We start from the raw sequence: 24,322 nt of genomic DNA on the forward strand, positions 1-24,322 counted from the left end.
TCTCTGATGATAAAAGTAGCAATAGTGGTTACCTCTGGGAGGCGTTGGCTGGGTAGGGGCAGAAAGGGACCTAATGGGAATGTCCAACACTCTCATCTGGATGTATTTACGGAGGTAACCATCATATATAAAACTGATAGAGCTCTACAATGAAAACGTGTGCATCTTACAGGTTGTAATTTGTATGGCAAAAAAAAAAAAAAAAAAATGAAGGCACTTGGCAAGAAAAAAGAGAGAAAACACAAAATGTATCAACCAGGATGATGGGGTGGGGGAATGGTCAGATGGTCATGGTGGGGGTAAGTGAGATGAAGGGAATTAGGAAGTGTAGGAATGCTTAATGTACAGAAACACTTTTGATCAAAAATAGTCTTCCTTCCTTCATTCTTTTTTTATTCCAGTCTCCCATTTCCCAGATGGAACAGTTTTTTTTAGTCTTTTTTTTTTCCTTACCATTTTTCCTAAGGCTGAATTATCATTGCTGCAGCCACATCATATTTTTTTTCATGACAGCAGGGAGGTAACCTTTTATTAATTGAATTTCTAATGGCAATTCATCAAAACAAGCGATCACCGTTATTTAATGCGTGATCCATATTCATGGCATGTTCTGTTAGGTAAATAATAGTGGCTCTGGGAAAATGCTTCTCTAAGGTCCTTTTCCTTCTCAAATGACTTTCTTTCCCCCCCACCCCCAAGTAGAGACAAACAGTTGTAATTTAAGCAGAACAAACCCCACCTGTGGAGGAGATATTGGTTAAAAGGAGACAAAAAGAATGACAAACCCACAGAATCAGTGAGAATGAGTGGCTTTGCCAGTTCCCTTTCTCTCTGCAGATTGACAGTGAATATGTGAATAACGTTTGCTAAATCTGGACTTTGAAAACATGACAGCAAGCTGTTTGTGCCAATAAATTTTCATGGCATATGCCACCCCTCCCTGCACCACACACAGTTTTAATAAGATGGCACATGAGCTATTGAGAAACGTTAAAAACCCTGTAGAGGAAAGAGCTTTATCTTCTGACCAAATTCTGCCCAGCAATGTTTATGACAGCTGAAGAATTTATCTGAAATTCCCTCTGCTAGCCGCAAAGCACCTGGCCCTTTGTCCCCAAGCAGCCTTTAAGAACCAAACTAAGATGTCACATACATAATATAACAGATAAATGGCCCAATTTCCATGTCCACATGATGAATGGAATGCAAGTTCAGCACACACATATTTGCACATTAATTGGCCCTGCATGGTTCCATTTTGTTCCTAAGTTGCTACTGTATGTCTCCTAGACTCCTTCCCCTTCAAAATCATTAAGCCTGTTTTATCGCAAAAACGCATACACATTTCCCCCCTATTTATCGTCACGCAGCTTGCCCTGCTGAGAGAGAACGAAGTTACCTGGGCGCAGCCATTGGATTGCAAATGCGTATGTCTGAGTCCTCTCCACCACCAGCTGTATATTAACACAAAGATCTGAGACCCAGCCCCACGTTGTCTATGCTGACAGCCAAACAAAGGAGGTTATAGAAGAGGATGTTTGAGGAAAAAAAAAATTCATTTCATTTCACTTACCAGTTGGTTTCTTGCCTCACCTTAATGATTTCCTGTTGATACTTTAATGGCAATGTAAACTCAGTGGAGGGCCTCAATTTTGATAAATTGGCCTGCTTTTATTTCATGGCAAAGCAATCGAACTGAGATTGATTGATATTACAGCTCTGCTATCCCAAATAATTGCAATGGGAAACTACGCAGGTAGCAAACTCAGTGGCCTTGGGAGAATGTAGGTGGAATCTCCCTCCTACCATTATTTTTTCCTTCCAAAAGGAAACTTTATCCTAGGCCTAGGAATCATTTATTTCTCTTGTCTTCCAAGCCTCGTTCTCAGGAAAATAAATTGGGGGTTGCAGAGCCCATTAAAAATATTCTTACCTACTAAAAGACACCAGTGCGTTTGAGAAAGGGGCTGAGCTGCTTAGTCTGTGAACAGAAGATCAGTCCTAGCCATCCTGTGTCATTTGAGAACCTAGCACATTTAACAAGGGTCTGTTGAGCTGTTTCATCAAGAAGGTTACAGTGGAAAGAGCAAGAGTTTTGGAGTCTTGTAGATGAGGTGTGAATGATGGGTCCACACTTGTGAGTTATGTGACTGTAGTCAAGTTACTTAACTGCTAAGCAAGTCTTTTCTCCACAAAATGGGAATGGTGAAATAAAGTACAAGGTTTGTTTGAACTTTAAATGAAATAATCAATATGCAATGCCTGGCTGGGCATGGTGGCTCACACCTGTAGTCCTAGCATTTTGGAGGGCCAAGGCAGGAAGATCACTTGAGCCCAGGAGTTCGAGACCAGCCTGGGCAACAGATGAGGAAGAACCGAATCTCTACAGAAAGAAAAAAAAAATTGGCAGGTGTGGTGCTGTGTGTTTGTAGTCCCAGCTACTCAGGAGGCTGAGGTGGGAGGGTTGCTTGAGCCCAGGAGGTTGAGGTTGCAGTGAGGCAAGATTGCACCACTGCACTCTAGCCTGGGTGACAGAGCTAGACCCTGTCTTAAAAAAAAAGAAAAAAAGAAAGAAAATAATACAATGCTTAAGACAGAGCCTGGCATACAGTAGATGTTCAACAATTAGTATTTTGCTTCCATACAAAGTCCCCCTTCACTTACATTTGTATTAAGTAAAACAATAATTAGGGTGTGGTGGCTCATGCCTGTAATCCCAGCACTTTGGGAGGCCAAGACAGGTGAATTATGAGGTCAAGAGATCCAGACCATTCTGGCCAACATGGTGAAGTACTATCTCTATTAAAAATACAAAAATTAGCTGGGTGTGGTGGCACGCACCTGTAGTCCTAGCTACTTGGGAGGCTGAGCAAGAGAATAGCTTGAACCCAGGAGGCAGAGGTTGCAGTGAGCTACTATCATGCCACTGCATAGTCCAGCCTAGCAACAGAGCAAGACTCCATCTCAAAACAAAGAAACAAACAACAACAACAACAACAACAACAAAACAATAATTAAATAACCTAATTAGGAATCATCGAGACCTGTTGTTTTGAAAGCTTGCTGTGCTACCTTTGCAACATGGCTGTATCCTGCCCTAACCAGACAGAAGTTCACTCCTATGACTTAATTCACATTGGAGTTAATGGCCCTCTTGTCTCCACCCAAGGACAAGATCCACTTGAAGATCAGCAGTACTTTCCAATGAGCACTCTTGGCCTTGTCTAATTTTGCCCAGTCATGCTTTGATAGTCATCTCCGTCCTTGAAGCCAGCACCAAAGAATATTTAAAGAACTCTAAACAATCATGTGGTCTTAATTCAAGAGTCCAGAATTCTCAGTTGGAGATATGGTTAGTGTTTTGTAATTTCTTGAACGTTTAAGTGACAGTCTCTTATAGTCTAGGCACAATACTAGGCCTGGGAATACGTGTACAAAGTTGACACACTATCATACCCTCAAATAACTGATGGTTCATTATAGCATTATAGAATAAATGCTGTAGTTTCACTTGTCTCATGAGGACTGATGTTGTCAATAGAGCAAAACTGTCCCCATAAGGCTTCCTACATATTTGGTAAGTTCTGGATCTCGGTTAAAACATAAATGAGTCTAGATAGGCTAGGGATATTTATAGAGGCTTCTCAGAGGAGGTAGTATGCAGACTGGAGCTTTGAAGGGTGGATTAGGTTAGGTTGTCATCAGGTAAAGAAAAGTCAAGGGCCTGAGAAAAGGAAGAGATGGGAAAAAAGCTGCCTGCTCAGAGAATAAGTGAAAAGTAAGTGTGGAAACAGTGAAGGAGAATGATGTAATCAGAAGGAACACAGAAGAACCAGGGCCCAGCATCCTCATGGAAATCAAAGAGTAAGATGGTTACAAGAGAGAGGTAGGGGTATTGGATAATTCAGAGGGTTTGAGGAAACAGGGTCAGGACCCATGGCACTGAGTTTGGCAGTCGTGCCATCATTAGTGTCCTTAACAGCAGCCTTTCCAATGTGGATGTCTTAGGAGTAAACAGAAGGAGAAGACACATGGGCCACACTGGAGCCCAGCTGTTCAAAGCAGCCATTGGTTGATTCAAGGGATCAATGGTCCTCTGGCTTGAAGGAAAGGCAGGAGTTGGGAAGGAATTTGGAAGATGGCAGAGGCTTGGGTATATTGTAGTCTTGGAGAACAGGCCTCAGAGGATACGATGGTGGGGCACAGTCGGGGATTTACACATTGAAAGGTGATCCGAGTGTTCTTGAGGCTGTTGTGTTTTGCTCATCATTGTCTAGCACCAGAGAGCTATGGTACTGATTGGACTGAGCAGAGATATTTTTTTTTCTTCTAAGAACACTGAAGGAAAAAAAGATGGAGAGTAAATGTGGATACATTTTGAAGGAGAAGGAAGATAAATTGAAACAGGTTATGCCTGGCAACCTTCACTTCCCCAGTGAATAGCAGAGGGAAATATATGTGCTGAGAATAAGGAGAGCAGCTGGGCGAGGTGGTTTATGCCTGTAATCCAAGCACTTGGGGAGGCAGAGACAGGAAAATCACTTGAACCAGGAGTTTGAGACCAGCCAGGGCATTGTAGCAAGACCCTCTCTCTCCAAACAATTTAGAAAATTAGCCAGGCAATGTGGTGCACACCTGTAATCTTGGCTGCTCAGGAGGCTGAGACGGGAGGATCACTTGGGACCCAGGAGTTTGAGGCTGCAGTGAGCTATGATTGCACCACTGGACCCCTGTCTTGGTGACAGAGCAAGACCCCGTCCCCCATAAATAAATGCATGAATGAATGGATGGAGAATAGAGGCAGAACTAGAGGTTAGAGGGGAAAAATAAGCAGAGAGAAGAAATAGCTGATATGAGATGCTGGTGAGAGGCTGACTAACCAGCAAGCTGACATCCAAAAGCACTTAGCGGGGAGATGAGTAAGAACCTTCCCATAGCAACAGCAGCAGCAGCGTTGATAATTGCAGCCATCATTTACCACATGTGAACGGAGTCCCAAGCACTGCATTATCTTTACAGCAATCTTTGAAATAACTGTGAATGCCTCCATGTTACAGACAAAAAAACTGAGATGTGGAGAAGTGGTGTAGGTTGGCCAAACTTACTCAAAAATAGTGGGAGCCATATCTGAACCAGGTTTGTCTGATTGCAACACCTGGGCTGTCTCCACTAGGAACAGCATGACTGCCATTGTTTATCTCCAGTCCCAGTGAGTGGTGAAACTCGGGCAAATGACTTAATCTTTCTTTGTCTCGTTTGTCTGTTACATAGCATGGGGACAATTAAAGAATGAACCTTATGGCTTATTCTGAGAAGTGGAAAGGCATACTGTAGCTTACAGAAGGCAATAAGCATATTATTTGGTGCGTAAGTAGTCCATAATACACACTAGTCGTTGTAGTGGTTACTTTTATTAGTGTGCTTGGTGACTCATTCTAAGCTACAATAGGAAATAGCAGAAGTATCAACTAGAACCAATTCCTGGCGTCTGAACCCACATGGAAGCATCATTCCTAAGAGTGTTTCAGAAGCATCTTCCTCTGTGAAAATTGATTAAGGGTCTCTGGAAAAGTGAACCGTTGTAAAATTTCTCTACTTCTTTATTTGAAAAACTAGGTATCTGTTGCTGTGAGGTTTGGGGGATGAATTAGAAGAATCCCACTTTTTTTTTTTTTTTGAGAGGGAGTCTTGCTTTGTCTCCCAGGCTGGAGTGCAGTGGCGCCATCTGGGCTCACTGCAAGCCCCGCCTCCCAGCTTCATGTCATTCTCCTGCCTCAGCCTCCCGAGTAGCTGGGACTACAGGCCCCCGACAGCACACCCAGCTAATTTTTTGTATTTTTAGTAGAGAAGGGGTTTCGCCGTGTTAGCCAGGGTAGTCTTGATCTTATGACCTCGTGATCCACCCGCCTTGGCCTCCCAAAGTGCTGGGATTACAGGTGTGAACCACCGCGCCCGGCCTATCCCACAATTTTTACCTTGCATTGGGGGTTAATGAGTAAAAACAACCAAATGGGGGGAAAAACAGCTAACTTTTAATTAGCACCTGAGTCTGTGCCAGCCAGGCCACTCTGCAAGTCATTCCGCCTGCCTTATCTTATTTAATTTCATCCTCACAATATAACCCTATGAAGTACATCCTATCATTTTTTCTGTTTTACAGATGAGCATACTGAGGCTTAACATGGTTAGTTAAATGAGTCACAAATGTAATAGGAGGGAAGTTGAGACTCACACCCGAGGCTATCAGACCCCCAAACCAGCTGGGGTGCTTAGAAAGTGAAGTCAGGAGTCACCTCCAGTCTCTTAGAGGCAAAGGCTCAGTCTTTTAAACCTAGAGAGAAAAATCTCATCTCTCCTCCTCTAAATTATCTCATCTTCCAAGGCTTCCCCTGCTACAGCTAAACCAGCCTCGTTGACTGCCTGTTTTAAGATTTTTTGAGTGTTCTGTGATCACAAAACCCATTCCCAGAACCATATATTATTTCCTACAGTTTTGACACCATTTATTTCCATAGCATTATACATTCCAACCTTCTGACTGTTTAAGATCAAAAGATGTGCTCCCGGGCTCATACTTCACTCCAGCTCTCAGACTCTGTGCACCAAATTAGACAGAACAGCAGAAGTTCCAGCCTGTCATAGTCTGTAATGTTGCATAATTCCAAGGATTCACCATGTTTTATCAATGGCAAAAGGAGAGACAGACTCAGCCACAGTGGTGGGGCTTTCATGGAGGATATGGGGGAAGGCCTGGAGATGCAATGGTTGAAGGGGAGTGCTGGGATGTTCAGAATCAGTCTAGAACGTGGTGAGTTAAATTGGTTGATTGTGGAAATCCCAGGCCAAGGGCAAAGATTTATAAAGGGTCAGAGAAGAAGGAGGAGATCCATGTAGGGCACTGTGCTCCCTCCTAACAGAATAAAAGAATTACTGATTATATCCAGGAGGAGGGAAAAGAGATTGTGTCTGCTCTCCAGGCTAGGCTTAGCGGTTCTAGAATGAAGCAAACTACATACTGATTAGCAGATGGACTTCTTTGGAGGGGTCACGCATTTATTCAGAAAGTCAGAGAGTTTTAAAGAGCATCTCATATGTGATAGCCAGTCTTTTAGACCCTGGTAACTTAAAATGAATGAAACACTTTTTTCTGCTCTCAAGGAGCCTGTGATCTATGAAAATACACTGATGGATGAACAGACGCTTTTAGCTAAGCTGTAATAGAAGTGGGTTCAAGGGGGAGAGTGAATACCTAGAGGGGGCTGTTTAGCTCTCCCAGGAAGCCTGGCTTCAGATGAGATGGGTCTTCCTTTCCCATTTACCCACATACACTTGATGCAGGGCAGGCGAGCCCCACAACTGGGGCTTAGCCGAAGAGGGTTCTTGGCTTTGCCCAGGAAATAATTCAAGGGTAAGCAGTGGTGTTAAACAGCAGCTTTTATTGAAGCATCAGTTACAGTAGCAGCAGAGGGACTGCTCCTTCCTGAGCAGGGCTACCCTGAAGGGAGTGTGCCCAGAGTAGCAGCTCAGAGGCAGTTGTGCAGTCATATTTAGACCCACTTTTAATTACATGCAAATTAAGGAACAGATTATGGAGAAATGTTTAGAAATAGGGTGGTAACTTCCAGGTCCTTGGGTTGTTGCCATGGCAAGGGCAGTAAGTCCTGGGTGTTCCCATGGTGATGATAAACTGGTATGGCACTCTGGTGGGCGTGTCTTATGGAAAGCTGCTTCTGCCCCATCTGTGTTTAAGCTAGTCCTCAATTTGGTCCAGTGTCTCGGCTCCACCTCCAGAGTTGAGTCCCACCTCCTACCTCACACTTGCTCTAGAACCAGTAAGGGGCATTGGAGACTATATACACAGACACCACATTCCATGACATATTTTAGTAATCTGAAAGCAAGCTTGAAAAATAGCAAAGAGATTGCTTTGGATCGACTGTGTGTATGGATAAGGGGTAGGGGATGAGGGAACAATTGGAAAATCAGCTGGACATGTGGATGAAGGGCACTGAAGGTGACTCTTCATTGTGGGGATGATAATGATAACAGTGATGGTGGTGGTGGTTATAGCGGCAGCAGTGAGAACAGCCAGCAGTTATTAATGCTCACTGTATGCTAGGCACTGAGCAATGTATTGTATATAAATTACCTCTTTTATTCCTTCCAATGAACTTAGGAGAATGAGTATTAATGTAGACTTCATTTAACAGATGAGAAAACCAAGGCTCAGAAGAGTTTATGGGACCCACTCAGGGCCATATGGCTAGTAGGCAAAGTTGGTATTTGATTCTATGCAATTTGCCTTCTGAACCAGCGGTCCAGCAAAGATGGGGGAAGCAGGCTTGAAAACCCCCTTGGGTTAAAGTCTACGTTGCTCAACGCAATCTTCTCCTGATAAATGTTGCTGATACACTTTGGAGAAACTTCGTGACTATGCCTGATTCCCGGCACTAATGTAGCTTGACTTAGGGCTGATATCCCACTTACCTCACCGGAATGACAATCGGGGTCGAAAAAAAAGAGTTATTGCAATTCTGGCTTCCTCTGTTGAGCTATGAATAAATGATGATAGCTGTGAAATGGTGTGGTGTTTAGATCGTTTCTGGTAAACTAAAAAAACTAAAAATTGAATAAAGTGGTAATCCATGCAGCCATTTAAAATAGGAGGGTTGGAACAAAATTGGTAAACTCTTTTAGTGTCTTCCTGGCCTTGTCATTCTAATGTAATTAGTTTGCAAAAATATTAATTAATACTCAAACATCTGACGCGTTTTACATGTTAATTTGAAATGTGTTAAGTTACATTTTCTACTTTTGCCCTGGTACTGTCTTCAGCAGCAGCACAGGCAAGAATTCTGGTCCTGTAGCCCCCTCCTTACAGCTCAGCAGCCAAGTAGATATTGAGTAGATACTGGGAGATCCTTGCAAAGCTCAGAGCTGCTTGCACCTTTGCAGAGAAGGGGAGAGAATGCTGTATGGAAACGCCATGTGAGTGGTTTTAGCTAATGGGGACTGACTGCAAATGCAGTATCTCAAGAAGGCTTCCTGAGTTCCAATGAGCAAATGCTGTGCTGGGCCAGCAGGGGTTTCAGATGGTAAGCAGAAGCTGGAGGGAGAAACTCCTCAGATCGTATTTGGACTAGGTTCTTTCCAGATCTTGCAAATGGGTTGTGTGCTCATGTCCTAGAGAAAAGTGCTGAATTCTAGGCATGTCTCATGAACTGCAACCTCCGCCTCCCAGGTTCAACGATTCTCCTGCCTCAGGCTCCTAGGTAACCGGGACTACAGGTGTGTGCCACCATACCTGGCTAATTTTTGTATTTTTCGTGGAGACAGGGTTTCACCATGTTGGCCTGGCTGGTCTCAAACTCCTGACCTCAGGTGATCTGCCTCTTTTGGCCTCCCAAAGTGCTGGGATTATAGGCGTGAGCCACCACGCCTGATCTATTTTCTTATTTAGTTCATACATTAGTCAGGAGAGGCTAAGCTATGCAAGTAACAAGTTAACCATGAAATCTCAATGGCCTACCCAAAGAGGCTTATTTCTCTCCCATGCTATGTCTGATGAGAGCTGGGGGTGGCTCTATCCATCTGTTGACCTCGCAGTACAGGATGCTTCTCTCTTGTGGCTTCTCTGGGTCAGTGCATACCTCCACTATCACTCTGGCAGGGGAAGAAAGGAAACGGGGAATCTCTCTTGACCTTTTCATTGCCTTAGCGCAGAGATGGCACACATTCCTTCTACTCACAGTCCGCCAGCTAGAACGTATCTCAGGGAACCTGTAACAAGAGGCCTGAGAAGGTGAGGAGCACATGGATATTCTCTGGGAATTAAATGCCTGCCATGGTGTGCCAGTGAGGCCCGTGACAGTGATCACAGCAAGCACCTCTATTCTCATCTCAGTTCTGTGCTTCACTGACTCCTACACTGGGGTTGCTTGCCTGGCACTCTTTTATGCACTTTGTTCCATTCATGTCACTGCAGTGTCAGTCTTTCCGTTCCAAACAAGAGGAAATGGAGGCTCAGAGGGCTCAAACTATTTGTCAATGGTCACACAGTTAGTAAGGGGTACAGTCAGCATTCACCCCAAAATCTGACTCCAGTACCTCCACTGGTTTTTTGCCTCCCAAGGTTCTTGACAGATTTCCTTTGGTAGCATTGTAGTAGAAAGAGCTACAGGCAACACTTAGAGAACACCCATGAAGACCCAGAGGACAAGGATCTTTTAAGTCTCCAAGGGATGATACGAGTGATGTCCAAGTTTGTGCAGAATTTATTACTTTCAGCCAGCAGATCCATATTCTGCATCGTATTTCAATCTTACAATAATCCTATGGAAGATTTGGGAAGAATAATATTAGCTTTGCTTTGTAGATGCATTATTAGAGGGTCTAGGAGGCTAAAGACCTGCTAGAGGTCACCTTGGTAGTCACTGATGGGTGTCTGGACTTTGGAATGAGTCTCTGTGTGTGTATGGGATTGTGGATCCTGCAGATCCTAGACTGAGGTCCCTTAACCTCTTCTGTTTCATGACCCCCTTGGACATCTGGGGAGAACAACAGGCCTCCTTGCAGAATAAAGATTTCAAATACACAATACAAAATACTTAGAATCACAAAGGAAACTATTTATATTGAAATACATTTATTAAATAAATTAAAACATGATTCAGTCAAATCTTTGCTTTCTTTGTTAACACATTGAACAAGCAAATCTAGTAATTACCATAATTTGGAAGTAGCGATAAGCATTATGATATTTTGAGATATCTGTGACAATTATAATGTAATGTGACTAAAATATCTGTGATTTCTCTTGGTGACAAAGTCACAGGTACTTGTAATACTACTGCAATGTTGTGTCTTATATTTAAAGGGAGTGCTAGATTTGTTAGAGGCTAGTGAAAATCAAGTTTTATTTTTTCCTATCGAAGTTCACGGACTCACTGTGTTCTATCTAGGAACCCCTGTAGAATCTTGGATCCCCAGTGAAGAATCCTCTCCATCTTGGCCCTGAACTGTCTTCTGATTCTAGTTGGGTGAAAGTCTAGAACTGGATGAGTCCAAGCTCAAATTATGTTTGATTTTGTTGCATGTATTCACTTGGTCTCTACCACCTTGTGGTAGTGATGGCATCTCTGCCCAGTGCCTGGTTTTAACCTGTGGCTTCTTCTTTTCCAATACAGCACATGTGGCATTTAAGAGTATTAGGGGTCTGGGTGTGGTGGCTCACACCTGTAATCCCAGCACTTTGGGAGGCTGAGGCAGGTGGATCACTTGAGGTGAAGAGTTCGAGACCAACCTGGCCAACATGATGAAACACTGTCTGTACCAAAAATACAAAAATTAGCTGGGTGTGGTGGCACATGCTTATAATCCCAGCTACTTGGGAGGCTGAGGTGGGAGGAGCATTTGAACCTGGGAGGCGGAGGTTGCTGTGAGTCAAAATTGTACCGCTGCACTCCAGCCTGGGTGACAGAGCAAGACTCCATCTCAAAAAAAAAGTTTTTTTAAAAAAAGATCAGGGATTAATAAAGGCTAAAATTTTCCCCCCAATGCTAGGTGGTATAGTAAGACTTCATACGCACTATTTCACTTAATTCTGCTAGATTCTAGTGTTAAATGTATTTTGCAGAAAGTAATAATGATGGTTAACATTTATAAATACTTACTATGCACCAGGCACTCTTCTAAGCACATTTAAGGTACTAAAATAATAATAATTACTTCAGTAGCAGTGGTAGCAGCAGCAGTAATAGTAGCAGCTACGACTTGTTAAGCACTCCCTTGGTGCCAGGTTTATTATCTTCTGAGTATTTTACATACTTAATCTCAATTATTCCCCACCACATTCCTATCAGGTCAGTATTAGTTATTTACATTTTACAGAATAGGAACTAGGTTCAGAGAGATTAAGTAACAAAGTCACATGACTACACAGCCAACCTTTGAATTCAGGCATTCTCTTTCCACACACTGTGAAGGTGAAATCACTAACCTCTACTGCCTTGTTTTCCACTTTGTTTACCGTTCCTCGTAGCTATGTCAGAGGTGGAAGTGAATTTTTCACTCCCATTTTACAGATTGGGCAACTGAGGTGCAGTCACCTTAAGAAACTTGTCTTAGAGTTGGCTTCATTCAACTCAAAGATGGAACAACAAAGCCTGCGGATGAGCAATTTACAGGAAAGATTTATGGGCAACACCTGGAAAAGTCATACATTACTTTTGCCCCCCTCCCATTGGCCAGAACTCAGTCACTTGGTCTCATAAACTGCAAGGGTGCCTGGGAAATGTAGTCCAGCTGTGAACCCAAGGGGAAGAAACAAATTTTGATGAACTCAGAGCTGCCTCTACCACAGGCACTGAGCAGAGACCTGGAGGGCTCATGATTTGTGGTGAAACTCCATCCACAGCAAGAGTGAAACTAGGGGTTCAACATTTGAGGGGACACTCTCACAGTAGCCAAGCTCACGCCCTGCTCCAGAGCTCCCCATGGTGCCTGGACTGAAATGTTAGTTTGTGCAGCAGAGGCCCCATGTGCCAGTGTTGTCCCTGGGCGGGTTAAAGACGGAATTTGACACAATACATTACTGCAAATTAGAGAATGTGAAAAATCTCATGCTGTGGAGATTTGGACTCTGGGTATATTTTTATAAGCCATGGAGAGTCTGCAAATGAAACACTGTCAAAGAGAAAACATGAAAATGTGTAATAGTCTGTTACTGTACATTTAAATGAATATTTAAAATGCAGTCTATTCTTTTTTAAAGGAACGTTGTTGTTGGCATTTTGTTTTCTTTAGTTTGGTGTGTATTTTTAATTTAAATGATCCAGACCCTGCTCTTAGGATCTCCTGCTCAAAGCCTGTACAAGCAGCCAGTTTATTGGCACAGGATGAGAAAATTGGGTACTTGAATCATGTATCATACAGTACTGTGTGTTATATTCCCTCCATTCTTAGATATCAGGGGTTATACATCTCAGCTTCACTTTAATAATAATTTTTTTTTGCAGGAGGAGAGGATGTGGAACAAAAGCAACACATTAAATGTACATGTTGATTTTAAAACACATTTATATTTCAGATATATTTTAAAAATATATGTGTGTTAAAATCAGAAAAATCTCTCTTACCCCGAAAGAGAAAACAAACCAATAAACAATAACAACAAAAATACAATCCTATTCCTCATAATACTTTTTCTGACATTCTCTAAGTATGAAACAAAGCTACTTGGTAACTGCCTCATAACTATTCATCTCTTAGCATTGCATCTTACCATATTGGTAAGTAAACTGTCTCGGAGGAACCTGCAATCCCAGATACGGGTGGCAAACCCACAGTCCCAACGTTGGACTGCTCTAATTGTTTTGAGTGAGGAATTTGAACACACATGTCTCTCTGCTTTTGGATTTTGAAGGCTGTTGGCCCAAGGCTGAGAGCATGCTTGAGGCTCTGTCTAATAAGCCTGGTGTCTTCAGCTAACGACTCTTTCTTTCTTGTTCTGAGTAGAACACAAGCCTTATAGGCAGCTAAGCAGTGATTTTTTTAAAAAAAATCACTCTGATTAGCAACATTCCTGTGAGTAGATTTGTGTCTTTTTCATATTTCACATTCTGAATGTTTTATGAAAATGGTTTCTTTTCCCAGTGACCTAATGCTGTGGTTTAAATAATAGGATGAGAAGGTAGGAACCCTGATATTTCTCCCTTTAGGGACAACACATTATCTTGTTGATTGGAAGAAATGAGGATAGATGGGTAAAAGCCATTGAGGTAAGCACCTGAATGCTGAGATCCCATTGACTTGGATGTGATTTCTGGTTCTCTTGTGACTTAGTGTACCACTTCTCAACATTTCAACTTCTCATCTGAAAGATGGGGATAATCACTGTAGCTGCCTAATATTATCAAGGTGAGGATTAAATGAGAGAGGCTATTAATTACAGCATGGGTCACAGTGCCTGGCAAATAGCAAGTTGTCAGTAAATGATACCTCAATTTTACATTTAAGCAGCATCTCAGATGATAACTCCCCCATAGAGAACCTTCCCTTCATGCCTCCCCAGCAGAGTGTTGTCCAGTGATACAGTTGAGAGCTTTTATTGTAACTCTGGAGTGGATAAGGTGGGTGATTAAAAAATGATAGTGTGCTTTTGAGTCTGGCTTCCCAGACTAATTTCAGCTCTGTAGGGCTTTGCCTGGTGCCTATGGTAGAGACAGCTCTGAGTCCACCAAAATCCATCTGTTCCACCGCCCCGCCCCCCGCTCCCCACCACCCCCCTACCCCCGCCCCCGGCTAGGGTACACAGCTGGACTACATTTCCCAGCCTCCCTTGTAGTTGATAAGACCATGTGACTGAGTTCTGCCCAATGGAAGGTGGGTAGAAGTAATGTATGACTTTTTCCAACGTAGCCATAAGCCTTTCCCGTGGATTGCTCATCCCCATGTTCTCTCATTCCATGTTGGAGTCGAATAAATCAGATTCTGAGGCAAGTTTCTTAATGTACTTTTGCCACAGTTGCCTGATCTGTAAATTGGAGTTGTAACAGGTGGAGGAATGAGAAGCAGTTATCCTGATGGTGGGTAGATGGTGTAGTTGATGAGTGAGGTCCAGAAGGTGCTCTCAAGAGGCTCCATGAGGGGCTTTGGTGCTCTGGAGGCAAAGTGTGGCACGAGCTTGGAGTGTCTTTCTCCCATTTTGCCATAGTCTGGTGCACTCAGAATCTCTTTAGACTCTCCTGGAAAGAGCTGGTGGTGCTGTAGGGATACCTAATGTTGGCCCAGAGGTAGGGGAACCTAGAACCAATGCTTTTGGAGCCTGCATGTAAAATGACACTCTGTTTTGTAATGCATGGTCTCTGAGGCCAGATGGTCTTCGGGTCTCTTGTAGATGAGCATTCTCCAAATGGAGAAGCTCCCAGACCTCTTAACCTTTCCTTTCTCACTTCCAAGGTAAGGGTGGCAGCTATGGTTTACCACGCTGTTGCAGGTTTCCTGTCAGGTTTCTCAGCGCCTCCTCAGTGATCTGCCACCATAAAGAGATTTCATAAATCATTAAGGGAGGTGTCATATGAATCAACATAATACTGTGTTCTTACCCAGAATGTCACGTTAGACTCCTGGAGGCTTAAAAAAAAAAAAAAAAAACTCCAAATACGACTGCATTTTTCCCCTTAAATCATCCAATCTGCCATCTGAGGCCCCCAAAGGAAGCTGCTAGTAAAATAGCAACTTGCAAGGTTAAGAAAAGCATCACAAAACATGTTAGCTAAAATGTGAACTTTTGCAACCTGTGCTTAGGGAATGGAGTCAGAGGGTTCACAGAGGCCTTTTGCTGTTTTTCAGAATCTCCTTTCCTTCCTCAAAGTGATGGGTAAGAGTGTTTGGGACAGGGCTAATGGTCTCTGAAGACCCCTGGCTTGATTGGAGTTGTCTATTCTATGTTCTCTTTCAGAATTTCCGCTATGCTAATGTTGCCCAGGGAAACTTGTATGGACGCCAAAATAAAGAAATACGTTCTGCTTTCTCATCGAGTTTAGAGGCAGGAAGTGATTTTCTTACTTAGGCATTCATTGACAAACCTTCACTGGGCATCTGCATCAGACCAGGTGCCCTAAAGTATCTAGGTGCTGCTGCTCTGAACTGTTCCACCTACTAGCTGGGTTACTGATACAGGTTGGCTCTGTGACCCCACCCAAATCTCGTGTTGAATTGTAATCCTCGATGCTGGAGGAGGGTCCAGGTGGGAGGTGATTGGGTTATGTGGGTGGATTTCTCTGTTGCCACTCTCATGATAGTGAGTTGTCATGAGATCTGGTTGTTTAAACGTGGGTAACACCTCTCCCTTCACTCCCTCTTTCTCCCGCTCTGCCGTATCAAAATGTGCCTCCTCCCCTTTAGCCTTCTGCCATGGTCATAAGCTTCCTGAGGCCTCCCAGCCCTGCTTCCTCTACAGCTTGTGGAACTGCCAGTCAATTAAGCCTCTATTCTTCATAAATTCCCCAGTTTCAGGTATTGCCTTGTAGCAGAGCAAAAATTGACTAATACCGTTACCTTGGACAAGCAAACTAATGCCTCTGTATCCCTCTGTCCTTATCTGTAAAACAGAGATGATGGGTGGTTATGAGGATTAAATAAATTAATACATGTGAAGTGCTTAGCCCAGTACCCAGCAAAGTAAGGCTTTAAAAAATATTAGTTATTACCAATCTCAAGAGGAGTTCTGTAGAAATAGACAGAAATAACTTTGGCGTATGAATTCTTCTGAAATTGTGGAGACCATTTCTCCATGGATCATTCAGGTTCTCAATGGCTATTTTAATTAAAACAGCAATAACTAACATTTGGTCTTCTTATGTGAAAGAATACCATTGGCCCTGAGCTGGAGGATGACTCATTATTCAAATCGTCTCTTTGGCTGGGCGCGGTGGCTCACGCCTGTCATCTCAGCACTTTGGGAGGCCAAAGCAGGCAGATCATCTGAGGTCAGGAGTTTTGGACCAGCCTGGCCAATATGGGGAAACCCTGTCTCTACTTAAAATACAAAAATTAGCTCTGTGTAGTGGCAGATGCCTGTAATCCCAGCTACTTGGGAGGCTGAGGCAGGGGAATCACTTGAACCTGGGAGGTGGAGGTTGCAGTGAGCCGAGATTGTGCCACAGCATTCTAGCCTGGGCAACGGAGTGAGACTCTGTCTCAAACAAACAAATCATCTCTTCAATCATTCATTGTGTCCTATGACCAGTCATTCCCTTAGACCAGTTTCTCAGCCTCAGCACTATTGACATTCTGGGCCAGCCAATTGTTGTGGGGAGCTGTCCTGTGCATTGCAGAATGTTTACCATCATTCCCGGCCTCTACTCCCTAGATGTCGGTAGCATTTTCTCCCCAGGTTGTGACAACCAAAAATGTTTCCAGACATTGGCAAATGTCCCGTGGAGAAGGAGGTGAGGAGTAACTTGCTTTAGAGTCATAAATAATTGGAGTCCTAAGAAGACTTCAGAGATTAGTCCATTCAGGGATTCACTGTTTTCAGGAATCCCCCATGCATGGCAGCACAGTCAGCATTCGTGGTACCTGGCCCTGGACACCACAGCAGCCCCAGTGAATGTAACAACTAGAAATGATGCAACTTTTCTCCAGATGCCCCAAAGACCATAGTACTGCCTTCAATGGATTTCCTTCTACCTTGTATTTCTCTCTCCTGTGTTATTTGTTTGTTTGTTTTGTGAGATGTAGTCTCACTCTGTTGCCCAGGCTGGAGTGCAGTGGTGCAATCTCAGCTAAGTGCAACCTGCACCTGCAGGGTTCAAGCAATTCTCCTGCCTTAGCCTCCTGAGTAGCTGGGATTACAGGCACTCCCCAATGCGCCTGGATAATTTTTTTTTCTTTTAAGTAGAGATGAGGTTTCACCAAGTTGGCCAGGCTGGCCTTGAACTCCTGAACTCAAGTGATCCACCCGCCTCAGCCTCTGAAAGTGCTGGAATTACAGATGTGAGCCACCATACCTGGCCTCCTTTCTCCTGTTTTTTACAGAAGTGAAAATGTAGGGCCAGAGACAGGGATTGGTTCACCCGAGGAGTCAGACCACGCAACCGAATGGTTGTGCCAGAATTCTGAGCAGTCTTAGTTCTTTGTGCTCTTTTTAGGAGAGAGATTTTTTGCATACCTGCTGAGTTACAGCAAAATTTGAGGGATACCAGATAAAATGATGGCATGAAGATTTCCACTATTCTGAACAACAGGGCAAGGACCACACACACACATCAAAACTTCTACAAGACGAGCAAGGTCCTGCCAGACTGTGTTCCTGCAATACTGTCTTCCTATAAGACTGCATTCCTGCAAGACAGCCTTCCTGCAAGACTGCCCTCCTGCAAGATTGTGTTCCTGCTGGCCTCACCACCTTCCTCTCAGACCACTTTCCACTTGCTCATTCCCCAGCTTTGTGACTTTCTCAGCCACTGTGGTGTGCCAGGTTCCTCCTGCCCCAGCGCCTTTGCAGAGTTTGTTTCCTCTGCCGGGAATGGTCCCTAATTGGCTTTCCACTTGGCCAGGTCCTCTTCTTCCTGTGGGCCACCTTTTCTCCAGTTGCCTCCCCTCATTATCCATCCCAAAGTGAGCATCTTCCTTTATTCTACAAAGCTTTTTTTCTTAATGACTTATCACAATTTATGATCATTTTACTCATTATTATTATTGTTGCTTAAAAGTGTTTTATTCTATGATAGTTCCCTGAGAGTCTAAGTCACAGTGTCCTGCTGTGTTCCAGCCTCCAATACTGAAACCATAGTTGCCAAACACTTAAAAAAAATAGTTGTTGAGGCCGGGCGCAGTGGCTCACGCCTGTAATCCCAGCACTTTGGGAGACTGAGTTGGGCAGATAATCTGAGGTCAGGAGTTCAAGACCAGCCTGACCAACATGGGGAAACCTCGTCTCTACTAAAAATACAAAATCAGCAGGGTGTGGTGGCACATGCCTGTAATCCCAGCTACTCAACAAGGCTGAGGCAGGAGAATTGCTTGAATCCGGGAGGTGGAGGTTGCGGTGAGGTTGCGATCGTGCCACTGCACTCCAATCTGGGCGACAAGAGCGAAACTCAGTCTAAAAAAAAAAAAAAAAAAAAAAAAAAGTTGTTGAATTAAAAGAAACCTGAATGAAGGAATAAACAATAGCATGTACACAGCCCTATCTAGAAGCTGAGGATGGTGACTAGTTCAGCTTCATAAACCTTCCTAGATACTGGGAAGATCTCTTCATCCTCTGCTGTGGGCTGTGAGGTTCCCTTTGTTGGGAGTATTAAGCAAGATTGGTCAAGATTTGGCCAAATAATATATTGATCACCACACGCTCTTCAATAAAAATGTCACTACGTAGTCATTTACTTAAAATTTTATCTTATTTTTCTTCAACTTTTAAGTTGTGAGGTCCATGTGTAGGATGTGCAGGCTTGTAAATGTGTGCCATGGTGGTTTGCTGCACAGATCAACTCATCACCTAGGTAATAAGGCCAGCATCCATTAACTATTCCTCCTGATGCTCTCCCTCCCCACACTCTCCGGCAGTGTGTGCCATTCCTCCCCATGTGTTCTCATCATTCAGCTCCCCCTTATAAGTGAGAACACGTGGTGTTTGCTTTTCTTTTCTTGTGTTAGTTGGCTGAGGATAATGGCTTCCAGTTCCATGTCCCTGCAAAAGACATGCTCTCATTTTGTTTTATGGCTGCATAGTATTCCATGTGTCTGTGTGCCACATTTTCTTTATCCGTTCTATCATTGATGGGCATTTGGGTTGATTTCATGTCTTTACTATGTGAAATAGTGCTGCAATGAACATACATGTGTGTGTACCTTTATAATAGAATGATTGATATTCTTTTGGATGTATTTAGCACCCACTATGTGCCAGTCACACTTTTGGGCACTGAGGATGCAGGACAAGCAGACTCCACACATGTCCTCGTGCACTGAGGATAAATAACCAAAAGCCAACGTGGAGGAGCGCCTGTCCGTGGCAGCCCATGCTAGAGGGATCTCACCTAGTCCTGGGGTTGGGGAAGGCCTCTTTGAGGAACTAATGTTTTGATCAAGGCCTGAGAGAGATGTAGGTGTTGGCAAGACAAAAGCAGACGCAACAGCCTGTAGTCGAGTGGTTTTTAAAGACATGAATTCACCCCAGAATGGCTGGAAAGAGGAGAGACTGGATGCGGCCTGGAGCACAGGATCTGGCAGAGGACGAAGACTGGGCAAACAGCCTCTGTGATGATCACAATGCGTGTGAGATGTAGCTCCAGCTTCTCCTCTTCATCTTTTGACATGCAGCAAAGTGGACATGACACACGGGGTGTGTTGACTGGCAGTTCCGTGTGTTCCAGCTTCACCACGAACAGACTGCCAGATCTTGGGTAAACTGTACTCTTTGCTTGGTCATGGAGGGAGGATATGAGCTTGGGGATGAGACCTGGCTTCAGATCCCAGGTGTATGTGCTTAAGTACGATACTGTACCTCTTTAAGCCTCTTGTCCTCACCTATGATAATAATATCTAATTATAACAGGCATTAGTAATGCTCTCTCCTTAGCAGACACTGGGCAAGGTGCCTCTTTCATGTTGACTGACTTTACCCTCCCCACCACGTAGTGAAGCTAGCGATAATTTCACAGCTGAGTAAACGGAGGTGCTGGTAGTTAATGATTTTGCCATGAAGTCCCAGAACTAAGAAGTGAAGGCTGGGCGCAGTGGCTCATGCCTGTAATCCCACCACTTTGGGAGGCTGAGGCGGGCAGATCACGAGGTCAGGAGTTTGAGACCAGCCTGACCAACATGGTGAAATTTTGTCTCTACTGAAAATAGAAAAATTAGCTGGGCGTGGTGGCTTGTGCCTGTAATCTCAGCTACTCCAGAGGCTGAAGCAGGAGAATCGCTTGAACCCAGGAGGTGGAGATTGCAGTGAGCCGAGATCATACCACTGCACTCTAGCCTGGGTGACAGACAGAGAGTCTGTATTGAAAAAAAAAAAAAAAAAAAAAAAAGTGAAGGTGCTGGTCTTCAGCCCTACATCTGTCTTATACTGGAGCCTGGGCTTTAGATCCTACACCATATTGCCATTTAGGATGACTAAGAGGGTTAAATGGAATGATCCATTCACCCAACATTGTGTCTGGCTTGAATTCAGGAAATGGAATACGGTCAAACAGATGTGGGCTCTTGTCTTCATTTTCTCTCATTGGATACATGGCTCCTTCAGTTGCTTCATCCGCCTGGATCTGAATTTCTCAGTCTGTGAAATGGGGATGAACTGAGATTATAGCTCATCTGGTAGGAGCATTTGGTGAGAAGATGCGTGCAAATCCCTTAGCACAATTCCCAGGGCACAGGAAGACTTGATACTTGTCAACCGTAACTGTTAGTAGGCAGATAGTAGGCCCAGCACAGAAGTCAGTTCTGCCTCTCTACCCTCCTTAGGATTTTTTCTTTGCACAAAGGGCTTCAGAAAGTGTAAACCCCCTCCTCTCTCTCGTGCATGTGAGGGACAGAGGTGTCCCTGATGTGAGGCAGTGGTAGAAGCCAAGGGCACGGGAGGAGCTGTCGGATGGCTGGAGCCGTTTCAGTGCACCAGCTGATCGCAGCACACGTCCAGGTAGGGGGATGCCCTTGGTTTCAAGTTCTTTGTGTTCTTTCCCCAAAACAAGCGCCTTCTATGCCAAGCCATCTTTCCTGTGCAACACTTTAATTTACATCTTTTAATAACTTTGGTTGCCATGGAAGCATTGGAATTCAGTTTTAAAATAGACAAACTAATTGTTTCAGTCAGAGTATTTGCTGTCAAGGAAACAGCCCGTTTTCCCTCATCCCCGAGAGCCCGCTTAATTGGATGGATGAGGTGGCAAAAATGGCAGAGGGGTTCCTTCTAGTCTACAGCTGGGTGAGGGTGCACCAGGAAGCTCCGAGGGAATCTCTGGGTCCTGGCCATGTGCCTAGGAAGAGCAGAGACTGGACTCATGAAGGGATCCACCTGGGGAGAAAGGAACAGTGAGAAAGGGCTGTGGGGCCCAGAAAGTTCCTGGGGCAGAGCTGGGGTAGAGCACAGGGCTCGGACATCTGATAGCCAGTGTGGTCAGCTGTTTCTCTGACCTTGATGGAGGCTTGGAGACCCTCCATCCTGTTCTGAGGGATTCTAGGAACAAAAACAACAGCAGCACACGTTGCGCAGGACTAAAGCCGCTTCCTCAGTGAGATCAACAAGAAGACGATGTCTCTTGTGGGACAAACTCTCACTTACTGCCCTCTCTGTGCTGGGTATCGGGGAGAGGGTGAAGTCATTGTTCACTTACTGAATCATTTCACAAATATTATTTGCATTCCCGTTAGGCACATCAGTGAGCACAATAGTGTTCTGTCCTTACGGCACTTATATTCTAGCAGGATGGATTACACAGGATGTTGAAAGTTAATGCATGGAACGGTGCAGAGAAAAGAAAAAGCAGGACAGAGAGAGGGGCTGGCAGTGCTAGGTACACAGCAGCGTGAATGGCTGAGAAAGTGAGGTTTGAGAAGAGACTTGGCGGGGTTGAGGGGAGACCAAGCCTGATCTTGGTGATTGAGCATGCTTAGCAGTGATTTAAAGTTCTGCCTTTGCTGTCAGAGAAGATCTGGGTTGCAATTCCATTTTTCATTGCTTACTTCCTGGATGACCTCTGTCCATGACTGTATCTCTTTATATGCCTCAGTCTCCTCATCTCTAGACTAGGGGTAATGGTACTTTAAATGGGTTAAGTGAGTTACTGCTTATAAAGTGCTTGGCTTGTAGTAAGAGTGGTGATGATGAAGATGAGGAAGAGAAGGAGGTCATAAAGCAATGAGAGACGAGCTGTGAGAAGTAAGCAGAGAGGCAATAACCACTTTTTTTGTGAAACAGTGAATGGTGGAATGCATCGCGGAATCTTGTAGAAGCTCTGAGGAAGATCAAATTCACCCTGCTAAAGACGGCTTCCCAGACGGGATTCCTAAGTCAAGATATGCAGCACTCTCAAAGCCTGTCCAGGGGTAGTGGGGAGAAAATGGTGCTTTATTTTAGGAACAGCATGTGCAAAGGCCAAGTAGTAAGAGAGCATGGCCAAGTCAAGGCACTGTGCAGAGTGCGCTGGAGCTGAGCATGTGAGATTCAGCACCCCAGGTGCCATGAGAGGGGGTTGCAGATGTCAACAGGGGCTGTAGGCCTTGAATAAAGTTGAGCTTTACCCTAAAGCTGGCCTTCTCCCAATGTTCAACGAAGTCTTCCCAAGGGTAAAGAGGAGGAAACAAAAAATTTCTGGTGAGGAATAGGGTAATGGGGAACCTGAAGCTTTCAGTGACCCAACCCAGCTGGGAAGCCTCTTCAAAATCTCATGCGTCAGTATCAAATGTGTATGCAAGTTTGGCATTTTACCTCACATTATATCACATTTCCTTAACATTCTAAATTACTTACCGTGGAATTCAGCTGATGCTCCAGAAGTATGCTCCTCATCCTCACATAGCTTTGAATGCCCAACACATAATTTTGCACTCTGGTTTTAGCATAGTATTTTACAAGTAAATACGTGGCAGCCTTTGAAGGTGTTAAGATCACATGGTGAATGGGCACAAAAAATAGAAAGAATGAATAAGACCTAGTATTGCTAGCATAACAGGGAGACTATAGTCAAAAACAATATAGTTGTACGTTTCAAAATAACTAAAAGAGTCTAACTGGATTGTTTGTATCACAAAGGATAAATGCTTGAGGTAATGGAGACCCCATTTAACCTGATGTGATTGTTACGCATCGCATACCTGTGTCCATCTGTTTTATCTGGCTAGGCATGGTGGCTCACACCTGTAATCCCAGCCCTTTGGTAGGCTGAGGCGGGTGGATCACCTGAGGTCAGGGGTTCGAGACCAACCTGGCCAACGTGGCAAAACCCCGTCTCCACTAAAAATAAAAAATTAGCTGGGCGTGGTGGTGGTTGCTTGTAATCCCGGTTGCTATGGAGGCTGAGACATAAGAATTGCTTGAACCCAGGAAGCAGAGGTTGCAGTGAGCCAAGATTGCGCCACTGCACTCCAGCCTGGGTGACAGAGCAAGACTCCACCTCAAAAAAAAAAAAATCTCATGTAACCCATAAATATATGCACCTGCTATGTACCTACAAAAATTGAAGATTAAACATAAACAAGTAAAGTGTGCTTAGAACAATTAAAAAAAAGATCACCCACAGCCATGTCCGTCATTCTAAGGATAATTTAGTTGCAAAATGTGGAATTGAAGATGAGGAGGGGAGGGAATCAAGGCTGAAAGCTGGGTCACCACTAGGAGGAAGTAGCAGTCATCCACTGGGGAATGATGGTGGCCTGGCAAATGGTCATGGTGTGGGTGAGGGAGGAGGGGAGAGATATGCATGGGGATGATTTTTTAAACATGCCACCAAATTCGAACACAATTCTGGAGCTCTATTTTCCCCGGTGTTCCCTTTCACACCACTCTGTTTCTTTTAGTGTTTTACTTTACTTATTTTTTAAATTGAGGTGGACTCGTAGAATCAAACATAATTAAAACAATTCAAAACATTATAAAAACTTTTTTTTTGTATGAGATGGAGTGTTGCTGTGTTGCCCAGGCTGGAGTGCAGTGGCACAGTTTTGGCTCACTTTCACCTCCACCTCCTGGGTTCCAGTGATTCTCTTGCCTCAGCCTCCCAAGTAGCTGTCATGTACCACTACACCTGGCTAATTTTTTGTATTTTTAGTAGAGATAGGGTTTTGCCATGTTGGCCTGGCTGGTCTTGAACTCCTGACC

The 24,322-nt window shown here is 44.1% G+C and overlaps 1 protein-coding gene across 4 annotated transcripts in view, besides 1 other annotated feature; it reads left to right on the forward strand.

Moving 5' to 3' along the window:
• RBFOX1 (RNA binding fox-1 homolog 1) overlaps window positions 1-24,322 on the forward strand; it is a 2,473,620-nt gene that overhangs the window by 630,464 nt on the left and 1,818,834 nt on the right. The window lies entirely within an intron of this gene.
• Window positions 786-1,755: an enhancer, noted in NCBI's record as "OCT4-NANOG-H3K4me1 hESC enhancer chr16:5920971-5921940 (GRCh37/hg19 assembly coordinates)". NCBI's record gives its function as "activates a minimal SCP1, AML or CMV promoter by ChIP-STARR-seq in primed H9 embryonic stem cells {active_cell/tissue: H9 hESC(primed)}" and the evidence as "EXISTENCE:reporter gene assay evidence [ECO:0000049][PMID:30033119]".

Source organism: Homo sapiens, chromosome 16 (genome assembly GCF_000001405.40).
Source record: "Homo sapiens chromosome 16, GRCh38.p14 Primary Assembly".
Lineage (NCBI taxonomy): Eukaryota > Metazoa > Chordata > Mammalia > Primates > Hominidae > Homo > Homo sapiens.